Raw genomic sequence first — 17,103 nt, forward strand, 5'->3', positions numbered from 1 at the left:
TCGGCTAATTTTTTGTATTTTTAGTACAGACGGGGTTTCACCATGTTAGCCAGGATGGTCTCGATCTCCTGACCTTGTGATCCACCCACCTCGGCCTCCCAAAGTGCTGGGATTACAGGCATGAGCCACCGTGCCCGGCAAGACTAAATAATTTATAAAGAATAGAAATTTATAGCCAGGAACAGTGGCACGTGCCTGTAGTCCCAGTACTCAGGAGGCTGAGGTGGGAAGATCCCTTGAGCCTAGGAGTTTGAGACTAGTCTGGGTAACATAGTGAACTCTCATAGTTCTGGAGGCTGAGAAGTCCAAGATCAAGGCACTGGCATCTGGTAAGGGCCTTCAGACTGCATTGTCAGATGGCAGAAGAGCAGAAGACAGTGAACCCGCTCTCTCTCTTTTTTTTTTTTAAGACGGAATTTCGCTATGTCACCCATGTTGGAATGCAATGGTGTGATCTCAGCTCACTGCAACCTCCCCCTCCCGGGTTCAAGCGATTCTCCTGCCTCAGCCTCCCAAGTAGCTGGGATTACAGGCACCCACCACCACGCCCGGCTAATTTTTGTAGTTTTTATTAGAGACGGGGTTTCTCCATGTTGGCCAGGCTGATCTTGAACTGCTGACCTCAAGTGATCCACCCACCTCAGCCTCCCAAAGTGCTAGGATTACAGGCGTGAGCCACTGGACCCAGCCCCCACTCTCTTTTATAGCAACATTAATCCACTCCTGAGGGCCCGAGCCCTCATGACTTAAACACCTCCCGTTAGGCCCCACCTCCAAAACTGTCGCACTGAGGATTGTTTCCAACACATAAACTGTGAGGAACACATTCAGACCATAGCAACTCCCAAGATTATTCCAGGGGTTTTCAAGCCTAAACTCTCTCAATCTCCTGCACCCACATCCTCAAAATGATCAACCTGCACACGGCCCTGGCAGCCTCTCCCCAGGTTCTGAGGAAGACGTGTCCTCACCCCACGGAAGTTACCTCAGGCCAGCTGGTTCTTCTGGCTGCTCCGGCACCAAGCACCTCTTGCTCTATCCCTTATCCCTTATTTGCAGTTTCTAGTCCCACCCTTGCCCGCCCCATCTCTACTGACATCTTCTTGCAGGCCACACACAAACTCTTTATGTTCCCATTACAACCCCCCCATCCTGTCTTCCGCTGCTGGAACTTCTTTCCACAGCCAGCTCTTGAAAGAGGGATGCACGGCCGGGCACAGTGGCTCACTCCTGTAATCCCAGCATTTTGGGAGGCCGAGGCAGGTGGATCACAAGGTAGGAGATCGAGACCATCCTGGCTAACATGGTGAAACCCTGTCTCTACTAAAATACAAAAAACTAGCTGGGTGTGGTGGTGTGCACCTGTAGTCCCAGCTACTCAGGAAGCTGAGGCAGGGGAATCACTTGAACCCAGGAGACGGAGGTTGCAGTGAGCCAAGATCGCGCCACCGCACTCCAGCCTGGCGACAGAGCGAGACTGTCTAAAAAAAAAAAAAAGGATGCACACTTGCCTTCTGTTCACCTCATGCCGACTCCCCCACCCCCAACTTCATGACACAGCTATCAAAGGTCCCTGGTGATGTCATAATGGCTGCATCCAGGGGTGGTCTTCCAGCTTCATCTTCCTCTCTGACTCCTCTCCTCTGCACTCTCCTCCCTGCCGCCTACACTCTGCCTCTCTCTTACCCATCTGGTCTTTCCTTCTCAGCTGCTTTCACAGGCTCTGCTTTCTCTCCTGGTTACTTTACATGCCCATTCATTTTTCAAGCAGTTACTGGGCACCTACAGTGGGGCTGGGCACAGTTCTCCCTGATGCGCAGTCCCTGTTTTTTGTTTTTTTTTTTTGAGACAGAGTCTCGCTCTGTCGCCCAGGCTGGAGTGCAGTGGTGCGATCCTGGCTCACTGCAAGCTCCGCCTCCTGGGTTCACGCCATTCTCCTGCCTCAGTCTCCAGAGTAGCTGTGATTACAGGTACCCGCCACCACGCCCGGCTAATTTTTTTTGTATTTTTAGTAGAGACGGGGTTTCACCATGTTGGCCAGGCTGGCCTCAAACTCCTGACCTTGTGATCCGCCTGCCTCGGCCTCCCAAAGTGCTGGGATTACAGACATGAACCACCGCACCCGGCCCCCTTTCTCTTTTTTTTTGAAACAGAATCGCTCTGTCGCCCAGGCTGGAGTGCAGTGGCTCAGTCTCAGCTCACTGCAACCTCCGCCTTCCGGGTTCAAGTGATTCTTCTGCCTTAGCCTCCTGAGTAGCTGGGTATACAGGAGCGCACCATGACGCCGGCTAATTTTTGTATTTTTAGTAGAGATGAGGTTTCGTCATGTTAGCCAGGGTGGTCTTGAACTCCTGACCTCAAGTGATCCGCCCGCCTCGGCCTCCCAAAGTGCTTGGATTACAGGCAGGAGCCACCATGCCCGGCCTTCCATGCCCTTTCCATGGATCACCTTATTCCTCCCACAACCTGGATCTGGCATGTGGATGCCCAGACCTCTGACTCCAGTGTGTGCTGCTCCCCTCCATCCCAGGCCTCATAAAGCTAGCAGCAGATGTCTTAGAGCCCCTCAGACTCAGCGTGTGCAAATGTGATCCTGTGTCTCTTGGCCCGACCCATTGCTTCTCCTGTATTTCCCATTTGAGGGGATGGCACGGCGGATCAGTCAATACACACACACGGCAGACATGCACGACCCCTCCTCCCGCACATCCAACGTGTGCCCACATCCTGTCGAATGCTCCTCCTCCTATACCTCTCAGCTCTACTTTCCATACCCTGTTTGCTGCCTGAGGCCATGTCCTTCTCACATGGGGAAGATAAAACACCTTAATTTTCTCAACAGCATCTGCTTTCTTATCAGAGTTCTTTCTGAAACATAAACTTGACCTCGTCATTTCCCTACTTGTATGATCACCATGGGTTGCTCCTGCCTTAAGAGTACACTCCTGCCGGGTGTGGTGGCTCACGCCTGTATTCAGGCGTGATGCAGTGGCTTATGCCTGTAATCCCAGCTCTTTGGGAGGCCAAGGCAGGTGGATCACGAGGTCAGGAGATCGAGACCATCCTGGCTAACACGGTGAAACCCCATCTTTACTAAAAAATACAAAAAATTAGCCGGGCGTGGTGGCGGGCGCCTGTAGTCCCAGCCACTCAGGAGGCTGAGACAGGAGAATGGCGTGAACCTGGGAGGCGGAGCTTGCAGTGAGCCGAGATGGCGCCACTGCACTCCAGCCCGGGCGACAGAGCGAGACTCCTTTTTAAAAAAAAAAAAAGAGTATACTCCTGACTTGCCACAAGCCTCATGTGACTTGGCCAGCCACTCTGTGACTTCATCTCGCACCATTTTCCACCTTGGCCACTTTGCCCCAGACGCTCCGGCTGCTGCTGTTTGAGTACACCAACACCCGTTCCCATGGAAGGTCTTTGCTCAAGCTGTTCCCTCTGCCTAGGAGGTTCCTTTTTGCTAAACAATCTCAACTCCTGTCTCCTGTGTCACCTGCTCAGAGAAGCTGTCCCAATTTCTTTTTTTTTTTTTTTTTGAGACGGACTCTCACTCTGTTGTCCAGGCTGGAGTGCAGTGGCACGATCTCACCTCACTACAGCCTCCGCTTCCCGGGTTCAAGCAATTCTCATGCCTCAGCCTCCTAAGTAGCTGGGACTACAGGTGCCCACCACCATGCCCAGCTAATTTTTGTATTTTTAGTAGAGTTTTGCCATGTTGGCTGGGCTGGTCTGGAACTCCTGGCCTCCAGTAATCCACCCTCCTCAGCTTCCCAAAGTGCTGGCATTACATGCATGAACCACTGCACCCAGTCTGTAACCAGTAATTTCTTTTTTCTTTTTTGTTGAGATGGAGTCTTGCTGCATTGCCCAGGCTGTAGTGCACTGGCGCAATCTCGGCTCACTGCAACCTCCACCTCCCCGGTTCCAGCAATTCTCTTGCCTCAGCCTCCCGAGTAGCTGGGACTACAGGGGTGCGCCACCATGCCCGGCTAATTTTTGTATTTTTAGTAGAGACAAGGTTTCACCATGTTGACCAGGCTGGTCTCAAACTCCTGACCTCAGGTGAGCCACCCATCTCGGCCTCCAAAAGTGCTAGGATTACAGGCATAAGCCACTGCATCCGGCCCATAACCAGTAATTACTAAGTCAGCTCAAATGCTGCTTCCTCCATGAAGCTTTCCCTGAGTTGATACTCCTCCCTACAGCAGAAGTGGCCCCTCCCACCTTTGCGCCCTCACAGATTCCTGTGGAAACTGTGCTTTTTTTTTTTTTTTTTTTTTTTTGAGACGGAGTCTTGCTCTTATAGATTGACCAGGCTGGAGTGCAATGGCATGATCTCAGCTCACTGCAACCTCCGCCTCTGGGGTTCAAGCGATTCTCCTGCCTCAGCCTCCCGAGTAGCTGGGATTACAGGCATCTGCCTCCACACCCAGCTAATTTTTTGTGTTTTTAGTAGAGATAGGGTCTCACCATGTTGGCCAGGCTGGTCTCAAACTCCTGACCTCAGGTGATCCACCCGCATTGGCCTCCCAAAGTGCTGGGATTACAGGCGTGAGCCACCACGCCCTGTCTTTAATTATTATTATTTTTATTATTTTTTTAAACAGGGTCTCGCTCTGTCACTCAGGCTGGGGTGCAGTGGCACAATCACAGTTCATTGCAGTCTTGAACTCCTGGGCTGAGGGAATCCGCCCCCCTCAGCCTCCTGAGTAGCTAATTGTTTTGGTTTTTCATTGTAAAGATGGGGGTCTCACTATGTTGCCCTGAATGGGAGACTTGTCTATATCCTGTATAGACCTGATGTCCATCATGGCACTCAGTCCTGGTTTACAACCGAGATGCACACATAGCTATTATTAGCCCCTTTCATTTTCTGAAAGTGTCTCAGTGTAGAGGCTAATTTCTTTGTTCACCTGACTTGCCCCCTGACAATGTGGCTTCATGTCACTCACATTGCAATCCCAGTGCCCCGCACAGGCAGGTGCTCTTTCTAGGGAAGGAAAGAATAAATGAACATTTGATCTGGTGGTTAGAAAATGCCATCAATTTGGGGAGTAGCAGAAAGTGCACTGGACTAGCTATCAGAAGACATGGTTTATAGTTCTAATTTCATCACGAAACTAGCTGCATGACCTTGGCCACGCTGCTTAACATCTTTGGGCCTCAGACTGCCAGTTTTTAAATGAGCAAGTAGGATTAAATGACCTCTGCCCTCGATGCTTGCTCTAAGATTCTGTGATTCAGAGTTATCCCCTTAATAGACGAGGACCTCTCAGACCCTAAATGGAAGAAGTTAGTGTGGCACTGAGTACACACACCAGGAAGTCTTGGACGATGGAGAGTGTTGGTGCTGCTCTTGAAGCTGTGCAGGAACCACCTTCATTTTTCCCTCTGCCAGTTCTGTCATGCTGCTGTCTCTTTGGTTAATATGCACGGTGCTGTTTTTTGTTTTTGTTTTTTGTTTCTCTCTCCAATTAAACTGTAAGCTTCTTGAGGATAGGCTCCAAGTCTTATGTTTTAAATCTTGAGGCCCTTTAAGTTAAATTAGAACCTGGCACGTGTTCTGTGGTTGACAATAATGGTCATATGGAGATCTAATCAAATCAAATGTTAGACAGTGGATGGCAGGTTTAATCAGAAATACACCAGAGAAGGGTAGGTATAGTGGCTTACACCTGTAATCCCAGCACTTTGGGAGTCTGAGGAGGGCAGATCACTTGAGTCAGGAGTTTGAGACTCACCTGGCCAACACAGTGAAACCGTGTCTCTACTGAAAATACGAAAATTACCCAGGTGTGGTGGTGGGCGCCTGTAATCCCAGCTACTTGGGAGGCTGAGGCAGGAGAATCACTTAAACCTGGGAGGTGGAGGTTGCAGTGAGCCGAGATCGCGCCACTGCACTCCAGCCTGGGTGACAAAACAAGACTCCATCTCAAAAACAAGAGGCCAGGCGCAGTGGCTCACGACCGTAATACCAGGACTTTGGGAGGCCTAGGTGGGCGGATCACCTAGGTCAGGAGTTCGAAACCAGCCTGGTTAACATGGTGAAACCCCATCTCTACTAAAAGTACAAAATTAGCCAGGCACAGTGGTGTGTGCCTGTAATCCCAGCTACTCGGGAGGCTGAAGCAGGAGAATCGCTTGAACCCAGGAGGCAGAGGTTGCAGTGAGCCAAGATCGCGCCACTGCACTCCACCTTGGGTAACAAGGGCGAAACTGTCACACACACACACACACACATACACACACACACACAAGAAGATAAAAGAAAAGAAATACACCAGAGAACAAAGAGAAAGCAGTGAAAATTATGGGCATTGTCCTATCAAAAGCATCACAATTATATGCCTATGCCTGTGTATTAAGGAGCAACTTAAATACACATGGAGGCCAGGCATAGTGGCTCATGCCTGTAATCCTAGCACTTTGGGAAGTTGAGGTGGGTGGATCACCTAAGGTCAAGAGTTCCAGGCCAGGCTGGCCAACAAGGTAAAACCCTATCTTTACTAAAAATATAAAAATTAGCTGGGCATGGTGGTGTGCACCTGTAATCCCAGCTACTCTGGAGGCTATGGCAGGAGACTTGCTTGAACCCAGGAGGTGGAGGTTGCAGTGAGCTGATATGATATCGCGCCACTGCACTCCAGCCTGGGCGACAGAGTGCGTAAGGCTCTGTCTCAAAGAAAAAAAAAAAAAAAAAGAAAGAAATATGGTCCCATCAAGAGGCACAATGTGGTTTCAGAAAAAGGAAGCCACTGAGGATTCCACATTATGTTATGGCAAGTCAGAATTGCGTATTCCATTTGTCCACTTTTCTGAATTCATTGACAAGAAAAATGCATAAAATACATTATAGGATATATTACATGAGTAGTAAATAGTAAAATGAAATAGAAAATACTTCCGGTGGTGGGCATGGTAGTTCATGCCTGTAATCCCAGCACTTTGGGAGTTTGAGACCAGCCTGGGCAACATAGTGACACCACATCTCTACAAAAAATACAAAATTGGCTGGGTGTGGTGGCTCACGCCTGTAATCCCAGCACTTTGGGAGGCTGAGGCGGGCGGATCACTTGAGGTCAGGAGTTCGAAATCAGCCTGGGCAACATGGTGAAACTCTGTCTCTACTAAAAATACAAAAAAAATTAGCCAGGCTTGGTGGTGCATGCCTGTAATCCCAGCTACTTGAGAGGCTGAGGCAGAACAATTGCTTGAACTCAGGAGGCGGAAGTTTCAGTGAGCAGAGATTGTGCCATTGCTGCTTTCCACCTGAGTGATAGAGCAAGACTCCATCTCAAAAAAAAAAAAAAAAAATTAGCTGGGCATGGTGGTGTGTACCTGTAGTCCCAGCTACTGGGAAGGCTGAGGTGGGAGGATGGCTTAAGACCAGGAGGCAGAGGTTTCGGTGAGCTGAGATTGTGCCACTGCACTCCAGCCTGGACAACAGAGTGACACTCTGTCTCCAAAACAAACAAAAAAAAGAAAATAAAATACTGAATACCGCTGGGCATGGTGGCTCACCCCTGTAATCTCAGCACTTTGGGAGGATGAGGTGTGGAAGTCAGGTGGCCTCACTTGAGGTCAGGGGTTTTGAGATCGGCTTGGGACAACACAGGGACTCGAGCCCAGGAGGTTGAGGCTGCAGTGAGCTATGATCGTGCCAGTGCATTCCAGCCTGCCTGGGTGACAGAAGGAAAGACCTTGTCAAAAAAAAAAAAAAAAGGAAAGAAATGTAAAATAGTAAGACATATTATAGAAACTACCAACATTTACGCAAAGCATAAACCTTCACCCATGGAAACATATAAACTAAAAATATATCGGGCCAGGCACAGTGACTCATTTCTGTAAACCCAAGCCAGCCTTTGGAAGGCTGAGGCAGGAGGATCCCATGAGGCCAGGAGTTTGAGACTAGTCTGGGCAACATAGTGGGACCCCCATCTCTACAAAAAATTTAAAAATTAGCTAGGGGGCCGGGCGCAGTGGCTCACGCCTGTAGTCCCAGCCCTTTGGGTGGCCAAGGTGGGCGGATCACTTGAGGTTAAGAGATTGAGACCATCCTGGCCAACATGGTGAAATCCTGTCTCTACTGAAAATACAAAAATTAGCCAGGTGTGGTGGCGCACGCCTATAAACCCAGCTACTCAGGAGGCCGAGGCAGGAGAACCTCGTGAACCCCCAGGAAGCCCCAGGAAGCAGAGGCTGCAGTGAGCTGAGATTGCACTTCCGCACTCCAGCCTGGGTGATAGAGTGAGACTCCATCCCAAAAAATAAGAATTATAATAATAAAAAAATAAAATTTAAAAAAATGAAATAAATAGACAGATGGGTAAATCCTGTCATCAGCTCCAGTAATAAAGGAATGAGGTATAGATGTAGGGTCTCCCACATTTCTTCCACCAATAACATTATGCAGGAATAGAAAGTTAATGATATGAAGCTCACCAATAGGAAGATTATTTGATCAACAGTAAAAGTAGATCTAGAAATTATGACCAAATCGAACATGAACTCTAAGCTGTGGCAAATCAAGTATAATTGCAAAAAAAAAAAAAACCATGAAAATCTTACCTTAAACTCAGTCAATATTTTCTTGCAGTCCCCCAGAGAGTGTGAAAATAGATTTAGCCAGAAAGAAGGTAAAGACCAAATACATTTTCAGAGTTTAAATATTTAGCAAGCATTTTTTGGGGGAAAAAACAATATTGTCATTTTAAAGTTACACTGTTTAAATATAATGTACATTATAATTAAAGAGATATAATGAAAAATAATTGATTGGAGATATTAAGCTTATAATATCACATCAAAAGCTGCACTCCTGTCTGGGCGCGGTGGCTCATGCCTGTAATCCCAGCACTTTCGGAGGCCAAGGTGGGCAGAACACTTGAGGTCAGGAGTTTGAGACCAGCCTGGCCAACATGGTAAAACCCTGTTTCTACTAAAAATACAAAAATTAGCCGGGTGCGGTGGTGTGCAACTGTAATCCCTGCTACTTGGGAGGCTGAGGCAGGAGAATCGCTTGAACCCAGGAGGCAGAGATTACAGTGAGCCGAGATTACTCCACTGTACTCCAGTCTGGGCAACAGAGCAAGACCTTGTCTCAAAAAAAAACACCAAAAACGAGCGGGAGCAGTGGCTCACTCCTGTAATCCTAGCACTTTGGGAGGCCGAGGCAGGCAGATCATCTGAGGTCAGGAGTTTGATACCAGCCTGGCCAACATGGTGAAACCCTGTCTCTACTGAAAATACAAAAATGAGCCAGGCATGGTGGTAAGTGCCTGCAGTCCCAGCTACTTGGGAGGCTGAGGCAGGAGAATCTCTTGAACCTGGGAGGCGGAGGTTGCAGTGAGCCGGGATCATGCCACTGCACTCCAGCCTGGGCAACAGAGCAAGACACCATCTCAAAAAAAAAGAAGTCCAGGTGTGGTGGCTCATGCCTGTAATCCCAGGATTTTGGCAGGCTGAGGCAGGAGGTCAGGAGTTCGAGACCAGCCTGACCAACATGGAGAAACCACGTCTCTACTAAAAATACAAAAAATTAGCTGAGCATGGTGGTGGGCGCCTGTAATCCCAGCTACTCGGGAGGCTGAGGCAGGAGAATCGCTTGAATCTGGGAAGTGGAGGCTGTGGTGAGCCGAGATCACGCTAGTGCACTGCAGTCCAAGCAATGGAGCGATACTACGTCTCAAAAAAAAAAAATCTTGTGGCCACGTGCAGTGGCTCATGCCTGTAATCCTAGCACTTTGGGAGGCAGGCCAATAGCTTGAGACCAGGATTTGGAGACCAGCCAGGGCAACAGGGCAAAAACCCATCTCTACTAAAAATCCAAATACAAAAATTAGCCAGGTGTGGTGGCATGTGCCTGTAGTCCCAGCTATTCAGGAGGCTGAGGTGGGAAGACTGATCACCTGAGCCTGGGAGGTGGAGACTGCAGTGAGCTGAGAGTGCACCACTGCACTCTAGCCTGGGTGCCAGAGCAAGACCCTGTCTAAAAACAAAACAAAATAAAAAAAGTTGCACTGTGACGTGGACTCTAAAGTCAACATCCTAAACTGGAGACAGTAGAGGTAAGTGGAGCAGAAAGACAAGATCACAAGAGGAGCTGGAATAAAAAGACAGTGAAGAACTTGGCCCAAGATTCACATACCTCCTGGCTTGGTTTGCAGTAGTACAGGATTTGGTTTCTATCACTTCTATTCCAGCTGCAATGACAGCTGCAGGAACAGTTTCTCTGCAACAATTACTATTACATCAACCTTCTCTGCTCCAGAACATATGTGCCTCTCTTGCTCTCACAAAACCAAGCTTCTCTGCAAGGATTCAATGCTCTCCAGCCTTCATATTCCTTCCCTCAAAAGCAACACTGCACTACTTTATTGGCTGATTCAATAAATATGAAGGAATGAGTGCCAACTATGCCTGGCACTGTTCTAGGCATTGGGGAATCCAGCAATGAACAAAACTTCCTGCCCCACGGGGCTTATATCCAAGTGCAATTTGAAGACCAGTTCTTATGGTCTAAATGATCTTCCAGCAATTCATTGGAATGATGATTGTTCTCTGAGTATGTCACATCTTCATGGTGTCCTTTCTTCGATATGAAGTTTTCGAAGGTAAAAGTCAAGCCTTCTAACTTTTCAAATCTCCTTTCTCTATCCAAGCACTTAATTTAGCATTGGGCACAGTGTACTCAGTAAGTACCCAAATCCTACATGTAGGAGAAAAAGAAACTGGACAATGCATTGTACACTTAAAACTTTGTTAAAATGGTAAATCTCACATCAAGTGTTCTTACCACAATAAAATAAAAATAAATTTAAAATAGGAGAACTGGCCAGGTGCAGTGGCTCATGCCTGTAATCCCAGGCACTTTGGGAGGTCAAGGCAGGAGTATCACATGAGGCCAGGAGTTCGAGACCAGCCTGGGGAACATAGTGAGACCCTGTTTCTATGAAAAAAAAAATTACCAAGTAAAAAATTTTTTAAAAATAGGAAAACCAGAAATCCTTTTTTTTTCTTTTTTTTTTTGAGATGGAGTTTCACTCTTGTTGTCCAGGCTGGAGTGCAAAAGCGCGATTTCGGGTCACTGCAACCTCTGCCTCCCGGGTTCAAGTGATTCTCCTGTCTCAGCCTCCCAAGTAGCTGTGATTACAGGCATGTGCCACCATGCCCAGCTAATTTTGTATTTTTAGTAGACATGGGGTTTCTCCATGTTGGTCAGGCTGGTCTCGAACTCCCAACCTCAGGTGATCTGCCCACCTTGGCCTCCCAAAGTGCTGGGATTACAGGCATGAGGCACTGTGCAAGACCTCAGAAATCCTTTCTAAAATAAGTTGTCTTCTAGTTTCCAAAGGGTATTCATGTCCATTAGTCCATTTCACTCCACAACAATCCTAGGAGGAAACAGGGCAGGAGTCACTACTTCTGTTTTATTTATATACATTATATATATAAAATATATATGTTTTAAATATATGTTTTATATATATTATATATATTTATATACATGTATTATGTTTTATATATATTATATATATTTATATACATATATTATATATAATATATATTTTTTTGAGACAGAGTCTTGCTCTGTTGCCCAGGCTAGAGTGCAGTGGCACGATCTCGGGCTCACTGCAACCTCCGCCTGCCTCCCAGGCTTAAGTGATTCTCCTACCTCAGCCTCCCGAGTAGCTGGGAATACAGGCATGTGCCACCGCGCCCAGCTAATTTTTGTATTTTTAGTAGAGATAGGGTTTCACAATGTTGCCCAGGCTGGTCTTGAACTCCTGACCTCAGGTGATCTGCCCGCCTTGGTCTCCCAAAGTGCTGGGATTACAGGCTTAAGCCACCGCGCCCAGCCTACTCTGTTTTATTAAAGAGAACTGAAGTTCTGACGGGTTCAGAACCTCTCACAAAGTGGCTGAAGGAACACCAGCTTTAGCAGAAACTGATGAAAGGTAGCGAATGCCCTTGAAGAAGATAAAAAAAGATCAGACTCATTGGGAGGGGCTAAACAGGTCTAAGTGCTTAAGCATTTGGCCCTTTGGGGAAGTGGCTGGAGCCCTGTATGACTGTCACCACCAACCCAAGCTGGGAATCTAGTGCAAGGTTGCAAACAGACCCTGAAACCCCAGGGTGCCAGAAACTTCCCCCAGCAAGCACAGGTGTAGCTGAGGCACAGGCTCTGCATCTTAGAGCTCCACTCTCGGGCACAGCAGGAAGTCCCACCCTTTTAGAAGTGAGAAATGAGGGTGGCCTGGCCCCAAAGCGAAGCTAAGGCTGCTAAAGAGCAGGTGGGGCCCAGACACTGCTGCAGTTGCCCCAACAGCCAAAGTACACCCCAGCGCTCAGGAGCAGTGGGTCTGCACAGCGGAAGGTGACATACCTGGAAAAGATGGCAGCAAGGAAGCATGGGGCCAGGGAGGGTGGTGGTCCCATGGTCCCAAGGAAAGCGTCAGCCACATTCCATGCAAGAACCTCATGTGACACCCATGTTTGATGATCCAAGAATCTGCAGGGCATTTCTGCTTCATTTTTTTCCCCCTGATCAATTCAGGTTCCAAACTCAAAAAAAAAAAAAAAAGAAAAGAAAAGAAAAAAGAAAGAAAACTTTCAGCTGGGCGTGGTGGCTCACGGCTGTAATCCCAGCACTTTGGGAGGCGGAGGTGGGTGGATCACCAGGTCAGGAATTCGAGACCAGCCTGGCCAACATGGTGAAACCCCGTCTCTACTAAAAATACAAAAATTAGCCAGGCACGGTGGCGGGCACCTGTAATTCCAGCTACTCAGGAGGCTGAGACAGGTGAATCGCTTGAACCCAGGAGGTGGAGTTTGCAGTGAGCTGAGATCGCGCCACTGCACTCTAGCCTGGGCAACAGAGCGAGACTCCAACTCAAAAAAAGAAAAAAAAGAAAACTTTCTATCACTTAAAGCTTATAATCACCCCCCAACACCCTTTAACCCTAGAAGAAGTTTTCTTTCTTTTTTTCTTTTTTCCCGGGGTGGGGGGTGCGGGTGGAGGGAGATGTTCAGGAAATGGTTAAGTAACAAAATCAGAGAGCACGGGATTGAGGTGATTAAGGGCAACAAATGGATGGTAAAGGAAAGTGGGAAAGCCATTCAGTCAGATGATACTGGGCCAGGAGAGTGAGATGAACATGGAGGAGGGGGTGGGCCAAATGATGGAGAGAAGGCTGGAAAGAAAGAGACTTCAGGAGGCAGGTGATGAGGAGAAAGAGGCAGCTGGAGTCAGGGAAGAGGGAAGAATAGAAAGCGGAGACACCAGGGTCGGGGGTCGGGGAGAGAAACCAGGAGTTAGGATAGGGAAGAGGGCCGGGTGTGGTGGCTCATGCCTGTTATCCCAGCACTTTGGGAGGCAGAGGGGGGCGGATCACCTGAGACAGGGAGTTTGAGACCAGCCTGGCCAACATGGTGAAACCCTGTCTCTACTAAAAACACAAAAATTAGCCAGGCATGGTGGCGGGTGCTTGTAATCCCAACTTCTCAGGAAGCTGAGGCAGGAGAATTGCTTGTACCCGGGAGGTGGAGGTTGCAGCGAGCCAAGATCATGCCATTGCACTCCAGGCTGGGTGACACGGTGAGACTGTCTCAAAAAAAAAAAAAAAAAAAAAAGGGAGGGGGAAGAGAATCGAGGAATAAGTCATCACACTTAATGTCTATGCAAACTCTTGACTCACATGAAAACTTCAAGTTTCTTAAATATTGAAGCATCTTTACTTAAAACCTTCCTTCCCTTCTTTTTTTTTTTTTTTTTTTTTTTTAGAGACATGGTTTCACTGTCACTCAGGCTGAAGTGCAGTGGCATAGTCATAGTTCATAGTCCAACTCCTGGGCTCCAGCAATCCTCCACCTCAGTCTCTTTTTTTGTTTGTTTTTTTTTGAGACGGAGTCTCCCTCTGTTGCCCAGGCTGGAGTGCAGTGGCGCGATCTCGGCTCCCTGCAACCTCCGCCTCCCTGGTTCAAACGGTTCTCCTGCCTCAGCCTCCTGAGTGGCTGGGATTACAGGCAGGGACTACAATGCTCAGCTATTTTTTGTATTTGTAGTAGAGACGGGGTTTCACTATGTTGGCCAGGCTGGTCTCAAACTCCTGACCTCATGATCCGCCTGCCTCGGCCTCCCAAAGTGCTGGGATTACAGGCGTGAGCCATGGCGCCCGGCCAAAGCTTTTTAGCCACTGATTATGCTACCTCCTGGGGAACCTTCACAACCAACTTCTCTATTTTAGTTTAGACCTACACTGTTTGGGACATCTTTACTTCCTCCTTAACATTTAAGGAGAAATTGGAAATAGTTTAGCTTAACCAGACTAAAGAGTTCTCTTTTCACACCCTAAAGTCTCCCAAAAGAAATGGGTGGGCCGGGCGTGGTGGCGGACGCCTGTAATCCCAGCTACTTGGAGGCTGAGGCGGGAGAATTGCTTGAACCCAGGAGGTGAAGGTTGCAGTGAGCCAAGATTGAGCCACTGCACTCCAGCCTGGGCAACAAGAGCAAAACTCCATCCCAAAAAAAGAAAAGAAGAGAAAATAAGAGAAAAGAAAATGGTGACTGGATTTTCACTCTCAGCATTTGTTGAGTCTTAGCTTTGCTCAAAAAGGCAGTGATTTATTAATATCTTATTAAGATGCCAATTTATTCCAGCCAGGGACCCTGTTCTCAATGCCTCTAGAATGCATTTTTATTTCCTTCTTCCCATATACCATTGTCAGGGTTGAAGCCAGAGAGTTCATAGTTGGGGAATCCCCCAAGCTCTATTCTCCCTGCAAATGGCTGTTTTAGGGCAATGCAGCCTCACAGATCTGTCCTTGCCAATCAGAGCCACTGTGATGGCGGGAGGAATCACTAGCCATCTGTCTACCTCTTATCTCACCCTATATATCTGCTCTGGATTATTAACAAAGCCTGCCTGTGGAGAAACCATTGTGTATATCTGTTTAAATGTCCCGTTCCCCCAACGCAGACTAGTTAACAAATGGTTTCCTACGGCAAAAGAGCTGGCTGCAATCTGACAAATCTTGCTCTACTGGCAGTCCCATTCAAAATAAGTACTACTATTATTGTTCTAGAGCCTTTTTTTGGGGGGGGGGCGGGGAGATGGAGTCTCACTCTGTAGCCCAAGCTGGAGTGCAATGGCGCCATCTCGGCTCACTGCAACCTCCACCTCTTGCATTCAAGTGATTCTCCTGCCTCAGCCTCCCATGTAACTGGGATTATAGGCATGCACCACCACGCCCGGCTAATTTTGTATTTTTTTTTTAGTAGAGACAGGGTTTTGCCATGTTGGCCAGGCTGGTCTTGAACGCCTGACCTCAGGTGATCCACCTGCCTTGGCCTCCCAAAGTGCTGGGATTACAGGCGTGAGCCACCGCGCCCGGCCTGTTCTAAAGCCTTTCTAGGGTTCTCCCAGCATGCCCATCTGAATTAAACTTGGAGGTATCTGATTGCCAAGGGTGTGCAACTCACCTCCTTGAGGGTTAATTACTTAAGGGGGTCTGAATGTTAAGAAAAAGGGCAAGACCAAGTTGAGCTACTCCTAGAGACTTTCTCTTTGCCGCCAAGTATTCCCTGGGTTATAAGGGTGAGTGGGAAGGAAATAAAGCTGTTTATTTTGCAAATAGCAACAAGGCCCAACACTTAATCTGACAATGGCAAAAGCTTTCTCTCCTGCTTAAAAAACAAACAAAACGAGCTGCTGACTTTTTCTATAACTACAGAGAGCCAGATGCTTATGGGGCCATATCTGGTAGCACCAGTGTGAGAGACTGCTGCTTTTAAAATATACTTTACCATAGTCGGAAAGATTTAAAGAGGCTTTAGATCTGATACAGTTTCTGTGATTATCTTCTTCGTATCAGTGCTCTGAAAATCTAAGAAGTCTGAACAAAACTGGTATCAAAATAAAGAATATTTCCCAGTGACTAGAACGCAAGAAGATGATATCTTATTAACAAACCTTTTTTGCTGTTTGTGAGATGTTTCAGTCGGCTGTTGGAGTAATTATGCAAGCTCTTTAACCTTTCTATACTTCAGTTGTCTATCTTTAAAATGAATATAGCGCTAACAGGCACTTTAGCTTGTCTCCTAAGGATGTTGTGAAACAAAGCAGAGAATGTCTGTACAAACTCCCCAAGTTGTGCATGCAGAAAAACCTTCTGTGGTAATAAATAATAATACCTTGCATTTACGTAGCGCTTTTACCTTGGAGTTCAAGCCTTGATAGAATTAGAAGGTATCATTATTTTAATTGTCTCGCTAACGTCCTCCTGAAAGAGTTGATGGCTGTTTATGCAGGTTATATGATTCACTCCATGCCCTACCTCTCTGCTCCATTCCCTGCTTCCAGGAGTCAGAGCTTAAAGAGTGGGAAACCAAGGCAGGGAGAAAAAGATTTGTGTGACACCGCTCAGCAAGGGCGTAGTGGAGCCAATAGTGCCAACCCCGATGTGTAACGCCCCAGCCACCGTCCTTTGTGGGATTTAGAATTTAAACGGGCCCCAGAGCAAGAGATTGGCTGGGGAAATGCCCGGATCGCGGCTGGGCTGCTCGCATGGCACTGCTCGGGTACCTCCGGCCGGGCTCCGTCGACGTTCGGAGCCTGCTGGCCCGTCGGGCAGCTGTCGGGCCGCGGGAGTCGGTCCGTGGGCAGGGCCGGCGCAGCTCGGGCGGCTGCTGCCCCGTCGCTGACCCCCGCGCGAAGCTGCGCGCACCAACAGGAGACATCTTCCCGGCCGGGCCTCCCGCGCCCGCCACGGCCCAGGGCGGCAGGGTCGGGCCGGGGGCCGGGGGCGGCCCGCGCACCCCTCCGTGGGGGGCGCCCCGACTCGCCGGGGGCGGGGTCACGTCCCACCCGGGCCGCCGGGGGCACCGGCGCGGCGGAAAGCTGAGCGTGGCCGAGGAGCGGGGGCTTCCTGGGCCACCTCGCCGGGCGCCTCCGGCCGGCGGTGGGCGCGCCGGCCGCCACCGCCCCCGGGCCGTCGCGGAGACCGCTTCTGCGCCTGGTACCTGTGGACGCCCTTGTTAAGCGCCTGCAGCACCCCCGGGGAGCCGAGCCCAGGACAGACATGCTACTCCTGTTTCCT

The 17,103-nt window shown here is 48.6% G+C and overlaps 1 long non-coding RNA gene across 1 annotated transcript, besides 2 other annotated features; it reads right to left on the reverse strand.

The window, feature by feature from the left end:
- Positions 1-11,035: 11,035 nt before the first annotated feature.
- LOC107984341 (uncharacterized) lies at positions 11,036-17,092 on the reverse strand. Its single transcript, NR_160735.1, has 2 exons — positions 15,978-17,092; positions 11,036-11,399 (listed from the first exon to the last, which is right to left on the reverse strand). It is a non-coding gene; the product is annotated as an uncharacterized LOC107984341 (long non-coding RNA).
- Positions 16,534-16,583: a silencer, noted in NCBI's record as "silent region_3612". NCBI's record gives its function as "represses an Ori minimal core promoter by ATAC-STARR-seq in GM12878 lymphoblastoid cells {active_cell/tissue: GM12878}" and the evidence as "EXISTENCE:reporter gene assay evidence [ECO:0000049][PMID:35858748]".
- Positions 16,914-16,963: a silencer, noted in NCBI's record as "silent region_3613". NCBI's record gives its function as "represses an Ori minimal core promoter by ATAC-STARR-seq in GM12878 lymphoblastoid cells {active_cell/tissue: GM12878}" and the evidence as "EXISTENCE:reporter gene assay evidence [ECO:0000049][PMID:35858748]".

The sequence above is a fragment of the Homo sapiens genome, chromosome 11, assembly GCF_000001405.40.
Source record: "Homo sapiens chromosome 11, GRCh38.p14 Primary Assembly".
In the NCBI taxonomy this organism is placed as follows: Eukaryota; Metazoa; Chordata; class Mammalia; order Primates; family Hominidae; genus Homo; species Homo sapiens.